Here is a 17956-nt window from a genome sequence, read left to right on the forward strand (position 1 = left end):
TTTAATTTATTTATTTAAACTGATTGAGCTTTTACTAGGTATTGAACAACAGTGAATTTGAAGTTTTCCTGCTAGAAAGCTTTAAAAGTGAGTGGAGCTTGCGGTTGAGTAGATTTCCTCTGAGGCAAGTTGAGTACACTAATTGGCATGCATGCCTCCATAGCAGATGATTCTACCTCCATCCAGATTTATCAAAGAAAATACCCTAGGGCAGAGCCAAGATCCTCTGAAGTAAAACCTCACAAGGACATTCTATCACAGGGAAAAAATAGTAATCAGGAACTTCAAAGTTTAGATCAGAGAGTGTGAAATAAAAACTTTTAGCCTGGAAAAAATGTAAAAGAAAATGCTAATAAAATCCTACAGTGGTGTGAAGTAAAATAAAGTAAAAATTGAAGAAATGTGTATAGGCCCCCCTCATATTGTTGACCTTGAGCAATATGATTTCTGGATCTTACCTGAAAAATAAACTGGTTGCATATTATCTGCCTAGATAACTGCATGTGTTAATTCATCATATAGCATAGCACTACACCAGCTTAATGTTGGGGTTTCTAATAATATTTTGACTTTAGAAAATTTAATCTGTAGTATTTCTTTTAGGAGAGATGATATGACAACCGCTTTTATGTTGAGGCAATTATTATATTATTTGTGCATAAAAACATACTGATTTTATTCTCTCTAATATGTTTGAAGTGTGCATACAATTCACTCAAAAGTAGCAGTAAGACATGCTATAATTAAAACCAGATCCAGAGCAAGTTATTTAAAAAAAAATTCTACTGGAAATTATTAACTAATCTTTTAAGAGAGTATTCCTGTTGTTCATTCTTTTTGAGTAAGGTTACAATGTAGGTACTTAATCAAAAATAACTACTATTTCTACCTCCAATTTTGTTTGTTTGTTTGTTTGATGGAGTCTGGCTCTGTCGCCCAGGCTAAAGTGCAATGGTGCGATCTCGGCTCACTGCAACCTCTACCTTCTGGGTTCAAGCAATTCTCTGCCTCGGCCTCCTGAGTAGCCGGTATTACAGGCAGCTGCCACCACGCCCAGCGTATTTTTTGTATTTTTAGTAGAGACAGGCTTTCACCATCTTGGCCAGGCTGGTCTTGAAATCCTGACCTCGTGATCCACCTGCCTTGGCCTCCCAAAGTGCTGGGATTACAGGCATGAGCCACCGCGCCTGGCCTCCCAGCGTTTTCTACGTCATATATCACAGCACATTAACTGATCCTTGTTTTCAAAATCAAAAGCTGAGAGAAGGTCAATGAAAGCCAGAAACAGACTCCAATTACCCTCATAGATTTCTTCTCAAGGTGATGAAGAAAAACCTGTAGCCATTGGAAATACATATGTCAGAACAAATCATCTTCTTCTCCACCATCTCCTCAACAACTTCCCCTACACCAAAGCAGAATTTGATGCACTTGCCTGAGACGTCCATGTTTTCAAATTTTCAAGGAAGGAACAGGCAAAAATTTTAGAATGCATGGAGTCAAAAATTGTTCTACAACTTTGAGAATATGAAATATACCACTTTAGAAAATGACATAGATTCCAAACTCCACATTAGAGACCTGGAGTCCATGTTTACTCACTGTCTCACTTTGTTGGACAGTTTATTCATTCTTTTCATGTCCTAGTTTCCTTACCCATAAAATGAACATAATAGTAGGACTGACTTCTAGGGTTTTTATGAGGCTTAAATATGTAATGTGCTTAGAATAGTATCTGACAAATTTTAAGCATTATATAAGTATTATTTTTAGTTATACATCTGAATCGTTATTTCTTTCAATTACCTTTATCTCTAGTTCTATACCTACAGAGTTGATAAAGTAAAAAAAATTGCCAAGCATAATATTGAGCTGTCATTGAATGGTACTGGAGATAGGGAGCCATCTGAACATATCCATCAGGAGCAATGAATGCCTTCTACAAATATGATCTTGTAAATTTGTATTTAATAAGGGAAATTCTGTCTTATTTTGCTTGAGATGAAATTTTAATCCGAATATTATTGGTTTATATAAGTATTACCCACTGAAGAAATATTATTTGGTAATTTGATACCTAAATTTCCTGTGCTCAATTCTTTGATGCCACCTTTCATTAACCAATGTTTCTCCCTTTTTAAATATATTTGATACATTCCAAATTTTTCACAAATATCTATTCCTTCTTAAAGAATTCATGTTGCAGAACTACAAATTCTATCCTACCTAACTGGTTAATGCTGATTTATGAGCATGATGCTTTTCTTATTTTTATTTTTTATTTTTAATTGTTGTGGGTACATAGTAGGTGTACATATTTATGAGGTATATGGGATATTTTGATACAGGCATACAACGTGTAATAATTACATCAGGGTAAATGGGATATCCATCACCTCAAGTATTTATCCCTGTTTTTTGTTTGTTTGTTTTGTAATGGGGTGTTGCTCTGTCACTGCAGCCTCGACTTTGGGAGCTCACGTGACCCTCTCAACCTCAGCTTCTCGAGTAGTTGGGACTAAAGGCATGTGCCACCATGCCTGGCTATTTTTCTTTTCTATTTTTTTTTTTTTTTTTTTGTAGAGATGGGGTCTTGTTATGTTACCAAGGCTGGTCTTGGGCTCAACCAGTCCTCCTGCCTTGGTTTCCCGAAGTCCAGGGATTACAGGTGTGAGACACTGCACCCAGCCAGCATTTATCCTTTATGTTACAAACAATCCATTTATACTCTTTTGGTTATTTTAAAATATACAATTAAATTATTATTGACTATAGTCAACCTATTGTGCTATCAAATACTAGATCTTATTCCTTCTATTTTTTAACCCATTAATTTCTATATGCAGAATGTAGTTGAGGCAGCTACTTCATAAATGAGTTTTTGTAGTTAGTGGCTTTTGGAAGGCTATTAGATGTACCTGAGAATAATTGTTTCCTACTAAGAACTCTTCATTCAACTAAAAATGCATTGTTTTTTAATTATCCTTGCCAACTGCTGTTCATTGATAAGCAGTTATTTCAAAAGCATTCTCTTATTTTTGGAGAGAAAATGACATGGACACTTGTTATAACTAAAAGTTCTAACCCAAAAGTCCTTGTTTTTAAGATTGACAGTCTAAAATTGATGAGGACTGTAGAAGAGTGAAATAAAACACAGTAATTTGTGACTAGTTTATTAATAACAACAAAAACATTTCTTTAATTATATGTAATTTTTAAATAAGAGTGGTAATTTACATTTCCTTCATTAATGCTATGGAAATGTCTCTAAAGAGCTAAAATAAATGCCTGTTGGCATTGTGTTTTGCAGCACTTTTTTCCTAATTCAGTAATATTGTTCATTAAAATAAAATGGTGTTCCTCATTGGAGTATTTGTAGTGAAGACGTTACGAATGTAACAAATTAAGATGTGCTAATTTCAGGTTTTGTGTCAAATTTAATGCCTTCTTTAATGTGTTAAGCCATAGCTTTACAATTGCAAACATTCAGCTAATAGCTTTTCTATCTAGAGAATTGCTTCAGAAATTCCTTCAGTAACCACTAATCTTTAACTACTGGGAAAAGATTTAGTTTAACCTAATTGTATGTAACATGAATATTGTAGGTTGATTCTTTATCACATCCTACTATATTTTGTTCTCACTTGAATTACTGACATACTGTCTTTCCTGAAATATGTACCTTCAGTAATTTTTTTTTTTCCTTAGGCATTAGCTATGGGAATGATGACAGAATACTATCATTATATCTTTACCACTCTGGTAAGTACTTCATTAAAACAAAATGTTCTGAATTTTATTATTATGACTTTTTCAGATGAAAAATAGGTTTTTTAGTAAGAAGTATTATGACTGATTCCTTTGTAGTTATATTTTAATTTGATAAGACTCCACCAAAATTATTATCAGAGAGGACAACTCTTAATAGAAGCTGATGATTTTGAAATAATATCATTTCAGATATCAATTCAAAATATTGCATATCTTATTTTTATGTTGCTTTAGAGAACTTTCAGAATATAATGGATCTTGAAATTAGTTTCCTGAGAAATCAGTGCTTTAGAAAAGCGCAAATTCAGCCGGGCACAGTGGCTCATTTCTGTAATCCCAGCACTTTGGTAGGCCGGGGCAGAAGGATCACCTGAGGTCAGGAATTCAAGAACAGCATGACCAATATGGTGAAACCCATCTCTACTAAAAATACAAAAATTAGCCGGGCATGGTGGTGGGTGCCTGTAGTCACAGCTACTCGGGAGCCTGAGACAGGAGAATTGCTTGGACCTGGGAGGCGGAGGTTGCAGTGAGCCAACAGTGCCACTGCACTCCAGCCTGGGCGACAGAGCTAGACTCCATCTAGAAAAAAAAAAAAAGAAAAGAATAAGACAAGAAAAGCACAAATTCTTATGTTATCTCAGCTGTATTCACTTTTTGAAAATCAGATGTATTGAAGCTGTCCTTTCAGTAGATTACATTTTCTATTCTGCTTTTGCCTGTATTTAGTTAGATTTTTTAAAAAGTCAATATACTTTAATTTGCCATCAGCAAATTGAATGTTACCTTTATATTTTGTTTTCACATACCCATCACACAATTTTCCCTTATAATGTATGAAAATCTGACTTTAACCTGTATCAAACTTACTGTTAGCTCCATTTTGTTATCAATACATTATCCTGACCTTTCTTTCTCTGTAAAACAGCTGTCTCTTTACTAATTCTTTCTTCCACATGTCCCAAATATGAGTATCTCCAAGTTTGGACTTCATCCAATCTTATTTTCTCTTCAATTATTTTCTTCAGAACTGGTTTGTATTTAGAGCCTCAGTTAACATCTTCGTTCGAATGAGGTCTAAATGTTCTATGTAATATTTATGAATTACTGTATACTGTAAAACACTTTTAATTGTTGTGCCATTAGATAATTTCGAAATATTTAAACTTTAGTGTCCTCTGAATTGACGTCTCTTCTGATTATCTTAAAAATTTCAACTTTTGTTGACTCCTGTATCACCAACAAAATTTTACTGATTTTTCCTTTGTAGTGTCTCTAGCATCTATCTTCTCCATTCCCATAACAACCAGTCTAACCAAAGTTTTCTTCATTAACTTGAAATTCTTCCAGTTAGTCTCCTTGCTTCTAGAAGTCTTGAAGCTGCCAGATCAGATTATTAAAATTTAATTGATTGCAATAGCTTCCTGTGATGACAACTCTTACCTCCAAAGGAGATTATTCATGCAGTAGGATGTATTTTACTTAAAAATAGCAAAGCTGGCTCTGGCATATCTCTATATTATTTCCTAGCAGACAACTTTTTGCAGCTTGTAAGAAACTTAGTGGTGGGGGTGGAGAGGAAGTGAGAGCATTCCCTCATCAGCAAATTATATTTCAGTGCTGTTACAACTCAGCATAAGCGTAAGATTTTGGGGAAATCAAAAGTATCTCTCAATAGGGAAAATAAATGAAACAACTAGTTTAGGATACATAGAACTCATAGGCCTACATTTGAAGGCCTTTTATACTTTGATCCTAATCGAACTTTCCCATTTCCTTTTGCTACTATTCTCCTTTAGGAATTCTCATTTATAGCTGAACTGATGTGGATCAGTCTCCTGAATAGGTTTTATATCTTCTAATTTTTGTGTCTCCACTCACACTTTGAATTCTCTTTTTGTCAATCATCAGCCCGGTCTTTCTTTAATGGCAGCTGTAGGGGAGAAAAGATTTCTTTTCCTCACACTTCATGAGGTTCAAGGCTGAGATCTCTATAACAAAAGAGAGGTTGACAAGAGAAACACCTAAAAATGTATTTAATATAAATTTTATGTGACACAAAAGCCATCAGAAATGAAGACTCAAAGAAATGGGAAAATCTGGATTTTTTTTTTTTTTTTGCTTTGGTTTGATAAAGAGTAGATAGTTATGTAGGAAAATTATTGGACAAAGGGAGGTTATGATCTAATGGCAATAAATCCAGAAAACTTAGCAAGGCCAAATTGTTGAGATTCTTCTTGACCTCCAGGTATAGGGCTGGATCCCTCTGGAATGAGAGTCTTATGACCTCCTTTCTGTGGGGGTAGGTCAGAGAATTCTTTTATGGTCCACTTCAGGGGAGAAAGGTGGGATAAGGTCACAGAGTGACCTTCCTGCTTCTGTGTCTTCTCAATTTCCTATAGCCAAGTACCATATTTGGGGGTAGCATGTTCTGAGCCTCATCACAGCTAAGATCCCATCTGCTCTGTGAAGTTTTTCTTGACCATACAAATTGAAAATAACTTGTCTTGCTTCTGACTTCTTTTGCATTTATGATTTCTACTCTTTTACCACTTGGCATATATTGCCATCCTTTATTTATTCACCTCTTTCCTATCTCCTTGGCTAGATTGTAAACATTAAAAAATAAAAACCTAAAGATTCCTATGTTTTTCATAGCACAGACTAGAGCTCAGGCCAATGCCAGCTGCTTTCCACTGAATTGTATTCTTATTATCTAGCCTGTGTAGCTGTATGAGTCTGAGGCAAGCTGTTCACAGAACCAATGGCATTAATCTTGCCTTGATTCTCAATATTGTCCATAAGTTCGAGGGTTAGCTATGCCAACTAGAAAGAGGGCAAAACTCCACATGCTGGATGTTTTCATGGTGGCATCCATTTCCATGATAGCTTTGGCCTCATATCTCCTGGGACAACTAAAGGGCAGAGCAAGAAAGTTCACTATATACAGACTAGAAAGGGCAACAGGCATAAAGTGTTTATTGGAAACTTATAGTGAAGTTCCTAGGTGTGAGACATGAGATGAAGGAACTGTATTGTTTCTGCAACCAAAAAGGCTAGTCTTGGCCTTAGCATTTTTTTCACACCTTTCATACAGTTTTCATTAGTTAGAAGCTGTATTTTGTGACTTGCTTTCTAAAAACAACAATCAAACAAAGAAACACTGACAAAAAAAAAATTAAAAACAGCAATAACCAGGCGAGGAAGCAGGACACAGAAAAAATTAAAGCAAAATATTAACACATAAAATAAGGGCAAGCTATCCTAAACAGAGAGAAGAAAGCTATTGCAAATCTTAGATGTGAGTTGTAGAAGAGCCCATTGTTTCACTGGCGGATTTAGAATAAAATATATACATAGATTTTTACATACGGAGCATGTATCTCTGCAATGCCAAAGCATGAGGACAGTCTATTTGAATCTTGGTGATTTGTGATGTTTAACGTCACTTGACACAAAGGTGTTAAGTGACCTAAAAAAAACAAAAAAAGTGACTATTTCAGTAATACATGCCTGTGAAGATACTCTGTCCATAATAACAACACAATAACATTTGTCTTTCAGGACCTCTTTGCTCTTGATGTTGAGCCCTACCGATACAGTGGTGTTAACATGACAGGGTTCAGAATATTAAATACAGAAAATACCCAAGTCTCCTCCATCATTGAAAAGTGGTCGATGGAACGATTGCAGGCACCTCCGAAACCCGATTCAGGTTTGCTGGATGGATTTATGACGGTATGAATACCCACTTAAAGATCAGTTTGTGTGTTTCTAAATAGTATTGCATACATATGAACTTCTGGGTTTATATGCATACATATAAACTTCAGTTTAATTGTTTGACATTAAAAGCAAAATATCAGAGCTACAATGCAAATACTTGTATTAACAATTTTTTTAAATCAATTTTATATGAAAAGCTTATGCTTCCATCCAAGTATCTCAAAAGGCATTACAACTATCACCAGGGTACTACAACATAGGAATTTCTGTAAAGTTAATTAGTGCCCTACATGGGAGAAATGAGAGACTGAAAGAAGACATACATCTGGTAGTTATCCTTCTGATCTTACCTATCAATATACGAATACTCTTCAACATGATGATTTCTGGTATCTGGTGTTATATAAATGACTTATGTCACACAAAACACACAAAATTCTCGCATGAGCTTACTCACTCTTTAAGGCTGAAGACTAATCAATAATCACATTTGTCATTTTCAAGTCCCAGTTTAAACCCAGAAGCGGCACTATTGCATAAACTATGAAAGAAGGGTATATTCTTATATAACTTAGTTGTTTATGCCAAACAACTTTAGTTGTTTATACCAATGCTTACAATAAAAATCTAATGGCAAGGCATACATAATTTTAAGTTTTCTTATACTGTGTCCTCCAAAAGATAGGTAAAAATCAGTGTTTGTTTAAGCTACTATGTAAAAATATTATTTTTAAATAAGTAATCAATATAAAAATTATGACTTCAGACATTTTATATTTTTTATACTAAATCCTTGAAAGATGGTATGTATTTGACATCATGCATATTAATTCAGAGTAGTCACATTTCAGTCATATTTACTCTGTAGTAGCCAAATGTGGCTAGTGTCTACCTTGTCAGACTTGGTAGGTATGTGTCATGTTATTTTTGAAAATTATAAATGCCTGATGTTTTCTTATTAAATCATTTTTCTACAGACTAAAGTATCACTATAATTAAGGAAATAGCTTAGCAGTGGGGTGATATTTACATTTCATAGGAAATTACCATCTGCTTTTAATGAGTATTAGTCTAAATGGAGAATTTATAAACAAAAACATCCTCTATCCTTACATGTATGTAGAAAAGCTTTTTCTATTATGCTTGTAATTTTTCCATTAATTACTTCAATAGCTTCAAAGCTTGTTTTTGATACTGTAGGGATAAAAGGAAAATTTGATTTTTTTATCCTTAGAAGGTTTTGTAATACAAATTGAGTGCCTTCATAGAGACTATGAAGAAGAAATGGTTAGCCTAAAGGCATCAACTTTCTGATGGAACAAAAAATACATTTGTTTTCAGTTTGTGAGAAAAATCACCTACTAGAATTTCAAAATATATCCGTATGAATTTGTTTTAAAAGAAACACTATAGGGAAATTGTACTTCGTTGCATAAAGAGATAGTTGAACAGTTCTAGTAGTTTAGTTTTAACTTATGTTTGAGAATTTTTATTGAGAGGAAAATACCTAAATAACTTAAAAATTAAAATATTTTCCTTCAAAGTGGAGCCAGATTTAAAATAAAATGCAAACTAGAAAAAATTATAAATGTTATATTTTATTACCAGTTTAAAGATGGTGAATCAAACTTTTGAAACTTAAGACAATGTGATTTTTTAATATTATAATGTATGCTATCCTTTAAATTGTTGTTATGATCATGTGAATATTTTTATATAATATATAAAAATATTTATTATATAAAAATATATATTATATAAAAATATTTAAATATTATATAAAAATATTTATATATTATAATAGCTTTCTTTACAATTCTTTGATTTCAGGATGAATGTCTTATTATTTATTTTCAATAGCACTATTAAATGGTTTTAAGAAAAGTAAATCAGTAGATATCAGCACAATTTTACACTTTTATATATTTACTTCCACAGATAAATAAGTCCAATGACTAATGTGCCCCTTCATGTATCAGAATCATAAAAATTATTCAATTTTACTTTGGTACACTCTGTATAGCTATGTGAGTCCCTCTGTGACTTTACACATCATCTCCCGAAATGAAGTAATCCCTAATTTGTGGCAACTTATGTAAACTATTGAAAGACAGATAAGTACAAAGAATGATGTATTAATTTCCAAGGTAGAAGCTCTTGGAGAGAATTAACCTCTACAATATGGAAAAAGAGAGAGGATATTAGGAGAATTACAAATTTGCATTCTCTCTTTCTAGCACGAGTCTATTCCTCTTCTGCTTTTCCCTGTTGAACTGGCAGATGATTTCTTGGAAGGGGAAAAATGTTAAAATGAAAATGGACTGATGAAAAAATGTGTCTATTAAAAATCCTGGGCATTATATATAAACCATGGATTCTGAGTTATTTAGAAGAATTTTCCATGCAATTCTCTTTCCTTTGGTATAGTTCTTAAATATAAAGTAGATATGAAGTTTGTCATTAAAATAAAGGTTTCTTTCAAAATAGATGCAGATTGATTTTGTTTTTACAATTTCCCTTTTGGAAAATTAATATATTTTAAAATCCTTTCATCATATAACATTGTACCAAAATTTTAAAAAAATACATAAAATATTTTCATTATGTAACATTAATTCTTAATTATAAAATAGCATATGGTTATTAAAATAAAACCAATTGAGTTCTGTATTAAAATGTGGGCATATTTATGTCTTACATAAGTATTCTTTTTCTTTTCAATTTAAAATTGTAAGCATTTTCACAAGTCATTAAATGTTTAGGAAAAGAAATTAATAAGCTGTTTCCACCATGAATATAGTCAGCAAATTAAGAGGATTCTAGTTAGAAAAAAGAGAAAAAAGAATTATAGCCTGGCATTGTGGCATTGGCAACATTCCCTTCAGTCAATTCATGAGATCTCAGTGTTTATGTATCTCTTTTTCTTTTTATCCCCTATAGTCCCATAAAGAAATGGGATTATCAGCAAAGTTTCTAGTGCTTGGAGCAAGACCTATTATTATCAGTATCATAATCATTTGCCATTGTGTAAGATCATAGTGCTCAGACTTTGACATCCTTTCTTCATGTTTGAGCTATAAAAGGAAACAGTAAATTGGATTCATAAGAGTTTTTCTAGTTGAGTTAGGATTTTAATTGGCCTTTGAGATGACTGTTTATCAGTTAAATGACTACTGAATACAAAACCACTTCGCTTGCCATTGTAGTTTCTTTCTCTGCAGTCTAGGGTCATCATATTAAAGATGTTAATGTTAGTAACTCAGTAAAATTTTTAGTTTCACTTGGTATAAACCCAACCAAGGAACCAACTCACACAGTACTTCCAAGCCTGATCTAGTTAAGGAGGAAGAAATAAAGCTCAACACTCTTCTTTTACACATGAGGGTTTTCTTTTAACATATGATATCCCACTTTTCTCCATTCCCACACAATGCCATCCAGTTAGTGCTCTGAACTTCCCAGACATAAACCCCTTATTGTAAAACTCTTTCCATACTCTGCATTCTGTATTGTGTTCCCATCTTTTCATGCTCCTAGAGGTGTGCAAATACCTTTCAATGAGCGTTACTACTGTTCTTTATTGCAAAATCAGATAACATCTTCCCCAGTCCTCTGACCAGACATTGTCTGCCTTTATGTAGCACATTTACTATAGGATGAGAATTCACTTTTGAACCAGTGCCAATCAGAGCCCGACAATGGTGATACTTGTTATTGATTTATTGAGTTTACAGCAATTTCAGGTAAAGACAAACACCTCAGAGTACATTTTAAACAGTCTAGCTATATCCCAGAAATCCTTCCCAGTGGTTCTAATATACATATGCATATTAATACCAATGTACCTGTAATCCATTCAGTAGCTTAATTTAATTATCAGTATTTTTTTTCTTGTGCTGATAGATAATACCACATATTTCCTTGATAATATAAATGTATTACACAAATCAATAATAATCATATTGATAGACTATATCATTTGGGTTTCTATAGGGATATTACTGTTTTAGAAGTTTAAACCCTGGACACCAACCGCTATCTCCATTTCCTTTCACCTCAAAAATCATTAAGCACTGTCAATTTTACTGTATCAATATTTTTCTTAACTACATTCATCTTTTCAACCCAGAACTTTATCTTAGTTATGATCATTCCCTGGCTTTCCTAATAATCCCCTCACTGAAGTCCTACTCCTAACATCTCTCTCCTACATTCACCTTCTTTCTAGTATGATTTTTTTCAGAACTTTGCTCATGGCTCCTCATCATTTACTAGGTGTAACTTGAGCTCATTTGCCAAGCCTAAAAAGCCTTCTATGGTCTGGCTCTTTCCAATTTGTCCAGCCTCATATTTGCTTGCTCCCTGTTCCACCAAGCCACCCTCTCATCTCACCTTTGATGTGTTGTCACTCATCATGTATCACCTATTCCAGCATAGGATACTTCATTATTTAAACCACTTACCTTTTTTTGAATGTTTGGCATATTCCTACTCATACTCTAATTTTCAGGTTTTCTGTTACCTTTTAGATTGAATGTGCTGAGTCCTCCAGATATTTTATATGTGTGGTCCTTTATTTATGCACTTTATGTATAACTCCATGTTGAAAGTTAACTCTAGTGCTTTAGTTTCTTTTTACATCACTTTTTCAATAGACTGTTAGCTCTTTTGAAGCAAGAAGTAGATATTGTAATCTTTGAAGTCCCTATACCTAGTTTAATGCCTGGTGTAAAACAGGAGCTCATAATGAGAGAGTGACTGCCTGATTGAATAAATGCATTTGTTAATTTATTTTAATCATATTACATCTGTGTTCTAATCATTAGTTCCTCTAATTTCCCCAAATATATGTTGGAGAGCATTTTATTTGCCCTCTTGTACTTTATTATCAATATATCTAATCATTTAGAAGATGTAATTAGGCTAGTCTCAATGACAGAAGCTTAGAAATACTTTTTTTTCTTTTTTTTTTTTTTGAGACAGAGTCTCGCTCTGCCACCCAGGCTGGAGTGCAATGACAGTCTCTGCTCACTGCAACCTCTGCCTCCCCAGATTGCAGAGATTCTTGCGCCTCAGCCTCCGAGTAGCTGGGATTACAGGCGCACACCACCACGCCTGGCTAATTTTTGTATTTTTGCTAAAGATGGGTTTTCACCATGTTGGCCAGGCTGGTCTCCAACTCCTGACCTCAAGTGATCCACCCACCTTGGCCTCCCAAAGTGCTGGGATTATTTATAGGTATGAGCCACTGCGCTCGGCCATTAGAAATACTTTTGATTAAATAGTGAAAGTATAGTAAGTTAGAAGAGTAGTTCCCATTCTTTTTACAAAGGAAGAGATAATGTTTATGAGAGGTGAGTCTTTATGTGTTTTAATTCTAAAGCCCTAACAGTTATTTCTTTATAATAACAGACCACAGACCCCAGACTTTATAATTTCCTTTTTTATTTGAGTATCTTAAAATAAAAATGAGCATCTTGTATATACATCTTACAGCAGGAATTTAGCTCATCCACTAAGGTGACACAAGTAATCATTTGTTACTGTATAAAGATTTACTTGTATAGCTGGGTGTGGTGGGGCAGGCCTGTAGTCAGCTATGTGGGAGGCTGAGGTGGGAGGATCACTTGAGCCTGGGAAGTTGAGGCTGCAGTGAACAGTGTTCACCCAGCTAAACTCCAACGTAACACCCCGTCTCAAAAAAAAAAAAAAAAAAAAAAAAAAAAGCAATGGAAATAGAACCATAGAGAAATAAAGTATGAACAGAACAGACAGGCTTTTTCATTTACTGCTAGAACAACTGCAAGCCCACCTTTGCTGCTATTTGCTTGTCTTAATTAATTTTAGCTGTTTTTCTTTAATTCATTTGAAATGAATATAAATATAAGGTTTTGGCAAGTAATGGATCAAACCAACTCAACATTTTTTAAATTGGTGAAGCATTTTGAAAAAGTTGGCTTCATCTTATATTGCACTAAATCACCAAAATAAAAGAATAAAGAGTAGCAACATAATGAATTGATGAATTAACTTTTTAAAAATCAATTTTAATACTGTGTATTGTATGCAGCACACAGGATTTGATACCAGGCACTCAGGATTTGGTAATCAAGACAATACCTCTATTTCATCAAATAACTAAGGGAATTGATAAAATCAGAAGATAGTAACTGTTTTTCTGATCACTTCACAATCTTTGTTGATATAACAATTATGTTCAAAATGTGATGTTGATTGCTTCTTAATTTTGTATTTTTGGATCTTCTTTCCTGTCTTCCTGAAAATTCTTGTTAAAATTTCCTGTTTTCCGTAATCATTTATGATAGCAAGAGACACACATATATTTACCAAGAATTTAACATAACTTCTTAGTATTTTGTCGAAAAATGTGTAACATTTCACAAAATTTATTAACATAAATGTTATAACTACTAGCCTTATTCTTGTTGTTACCACAGAAAAAACATTTTGGGGTCCATAATATAATAAAATATGGCAGAAATACTTGTATATTTCAGAGTATGTAATGAAGTCATAAGTACAACATTTGTTACATTTATATATGCTTGATTTAATGAATGGTAAAAGGACATGGAGCATGGAATGTGAATAACAGAATGGCACTATATTTCTTTATTTTATGTACATATTAATCTTCTAAGATGCACTAAGCTACAAGTTAAATCTAAATACAAATAATTGAGATGACCTAAAAACCTCCATTGTTTTATTAACATAGAACATTTCGTCTAATTGCCTTTTCTCATCCACAGATTAAATAAGCAGCATTTAAGCATCTAAAATTGATGGATATGGAATTTCTATTTTAAGTAATTGTTTTTTACATGAAAAATGGCAGTTGCAGTGAAGCATTATCTTTATGGTCATATTATTTTTATAGGTCAATTTTCAAACTTTTCACTTGGGAAAAGTAAGGGTAAATCAAGAGAGATTTTTTCCCCTTCACCCTGAAGAGCAAAATTTATCTTCAAAGCATTGATATAATATTATGTGACACCAACTTATAAAGGATAAATACATTTCTGCACACAATTTTCTTCAGTCTCTTATTTTATATTTAAAAATGTAGGGGAGAAAAAAAAAAAACTTTACCTGTCTTAGGTTTGTTCATTGTCTGGGACCTCTGACAGAAGACAGACTAACATGAAAAAATAACTGAAGTTCATTGTTGTATGCAGCACCTACTCACACTGAAGAACTCAGATGGGAATAGCTCAAGGGGTGGTTAGAACGTGGACTTATTAGCCTCTTAACAAAGAAAGATATCTTTTTAGAAAAGTGCCAATACAAAGGAAAAGTGATTTAGGCTTTTAGGGGTGGCAAATTGTGAGCAGATAGATATATACATATAACATTATATAAAAATAAAAAATTATATATATCTAATATGGCACTTGTAGGATCATATGCATATATATGTGACTATATCATATATATGTATATGATCATGTACAGATATCATGTGATATGATTATATCATATGTATATGTATATGATCCAACAAGTGGCATATTTTGGGGTGGCATATCCTGAACTCCTTCAACAGCTATATGGTTTTACGTGGATATGACGAATCACCAATGATATGAGGAAGTCTAGCTAGACAGAAATTTGTGACGTTCAGGAAGGAGGGCCCCTCAAGGACAGTCAATGTCAAGGACACCCAGAAGAGGTGATGCCCAATGCCCTGACAAGAGCATGAAGTCCAACTTTGCAGAGTCTGAGAACTGACAACATTCTGAGATTTAAGACTCCACATCTGCATCTGGACTGTGGCATCAAGGTAGAATTAATAAAAGCAATGAATGTGACCTTGAAAAACAAAAATGCCAAGCTGGTTATTGAGGTAACAAGGCATTGAACTTGAGAAAGCAAGTACAGGGCACAAAGTAAAGGAAATACAACATGGTCAAGAAAATAGAGAATGGATTATTTCACTGGGGTCGGCACTCAGATTCTAACCTGAGAATGAAGTTAACAGCAAGTTTGACATAATGTTCAATGCTGTAAGTTAAAGGAGTGGATTGGGAAACAGTGGGATATAAATCTGGGATAATGTTTTTTCACGCTAATTAATTAAAAGATAATTATAAATATTCTACATTTAACATAGAAAATCAAAATAATTAAAAAGCATCAAATACTGGTTGAAATTATTAAAGAAGAGAGAGTAAGAGATGGAATTGAGGCCTACAAATAAGAAATCTTATTATTCAAATATTCATAATATCCTACAGCAAAGTTCTGGCTAAGGAAGTTTATTACTGTAACTATAGTGCACTCTCATCATAGAAGGAAGAGTGGATCTATTTTTAAAATGTATAGAATATGTTTTCTGGCTACTAGTTTGCATTCAGGGTAAAAATACACCAAACTAAACTATATGTTGTATTTGGGATGAACTAAGATGGAGTAGACTGGTGGTAATTATCAAAGCTATAGGTTTTCCCATATTATTTCAGTTTTATGAATAATCTTTGGAATTTGTTTTTGGCTCCTCCCCCCAAAAATTTAAAACCAATGCCATATAAAAAAATACCTTGGCCTCATCCCAGTCTTTAAAATTTGCATTTAGTTGAATACTTACATTTATATATGATTTTATATAAATATAAATAATATAAAATAAGAGGGAAATATATAAAAATATATAATTCTTATTTATATCTAAATTCATATTATCATATTATCTTAGGTAATATCTTAATACGTTTGTGCTGCTCTGACAGAATACCTAAGACTAGATAATTAATAAAAAACAGAAATTTATCTCACAATTCTGGTGGCCAAAAAGCCCAGATCAAGGTATTGGCAGGATTGGTGTCTGGTGAAAGCAACTGTCTGCTTCCAAGACGGCACCCTCTTATATTCTCCAGAGGGGAGGAACACTGTGTCCTCACATGGTGGGAGAAACCAAAGGGCAAGAGAGTGGTCCTTTCAGCCTGGAGCTCTTTTATAATGTTGCTAATCTCTTTCATGAGTGCTTAATGCAGTGATGATGACTTAATCATCTCTCAAAAGCCACACCTTTTAATTCTGTTTTATTGGGGATTAAGTTTCAACATGAATTTTGGAAGGGGGCACTGTCAAACCATAGCACGCACTTTTGTGAATAGTAAGCAATATTCATATTTATCTATTTAATCATATTCATACCTATATTTATCTATGTACTAAACTATACTATTTATACATATCTATATCTATTTACTAGAAAGACAGTGTCACTGGTCACAGTATTAATAGGATAAGCATTTATAATACATGGACTTGGTACACTCAGTATATGCAAATGCTCTTTGACTTATGACAGGATTGCATGTTTATAAACCCATCATAAGTTGAAAATATCATAAGTCAGAAATGCACTTAATACACCTAACCTACCTAACATGATAGCTTAGCCTCACCTACCTTAAACATGTTCAGAATACTTACATTAAGTAAGTATTACTTACCTACATTTGGACAAAATCATTTAACACAAAGCCTATTTTAAAACAAATTGTTGAATCTCTAATGGAATTTATTGAATGCTGTACTGAAAGTGAAACACAGAATTGTTGTATGGGTACTTGAAGTACAATTTCTACTTTTTGCATATGGCTTTTGCAACATCATAAAATAAAAAAAATCACAAGCTGCACCATCGTTAAGTAGGGGATCAATTGTGTGTATCAGATTTTGGTATATTTTTGTTATTAAATATTAGCTATAAACTATTAAAATATTAAAAAACAAATGACACACGTAACTGTAGATTGCATCAATTTTAGAATCAATATGTCTGTAAGAAATTTAACAATTTTCCCTGCTGTGATTTATAATGAACACATTGCAGCTTTTTTTAGTCATGTTCAATTTTAGAGGAATTTTATTTAAAAATAGAGATTCTAAAAACTATCATAAATATAGAACTTGGCATATAATAAAATTTATATTATATATAATGCACAATAATCCTACCTCTGATGTTTTAATATAAATATATACCTCAGTAGATATTTCCATTTCTTTTGTTTTAAATTACCTACCTCTGGATCCCACCAGTGTAGAATTTCTCCTGCCTAATTGATCCAAAAAAGTACTCAACTCTGTTATTAGAAATAAGAGTATATGCATATATAAAGAATATGAATTTTAAGGATGTTAGGATGTATACAGTGGCCCTAGGAATAGTGACCCAAACAATGACTTTATACAAATTCTGAGTCTAGCTACCAGCGAATGTTACTATTTGTATTTGACATCTAATATAAATAACCTAAATTGTGAATTGTATTTAATGCTTACTGCATTTTACTGCTGTTTCTGCCTTATTAACTCAAGACATCATGGGGCAGTTATCATCTTCATTTTATAGATTCAGAAACATAGAATAGGCAGGTTATATATAGAAAGAAAGATCCCTAAACTATTGTCAGAAGCAAATATAAAA

At 33.1% G+C, this 17956-nt stretch overlaps 1 protein-coding gene across 8 annotated transcripts in view; it reads left to right on the forward strand.

The window, feature by feature from the left end:
* The window catches only part of GRIK2 (glutamate ionotropic receptor kainate type subunit 2), a 676376-nt gene that overhangs the window by 285137 nt on the left and 373283 nt on the right, over positions 1-17956 (forward strand). For all 8 annotated transcript variants that reach the window (XM_047418681.1, NM_021956.5, XM_047418682.1 and 5 more), the window contains 2 exons: positions 3709-3762; positions 7336-7509. In XM_047418681.1, the coding sequence (XP_047274637.1) occupies positions 3709-3762; positions 7336-7509 (228 nt within the window). The remainder of the gene's footprint in view (positions 1-3708; positions 3763-7335; positions 7510-17956) is intronic.

Source organism: Homo sapiens, chromosome 6 (assembly GCF_000001405.40).
Source record: "Homo sapiens chromosome 6, GRCh38.p14 Primary Assembly".
NCBI classification, from domain to species: Eukaryota; Metazoa; Chordata; class Mammalia; order Primates; family Hominidae; genus Homo; species Homo sapiens.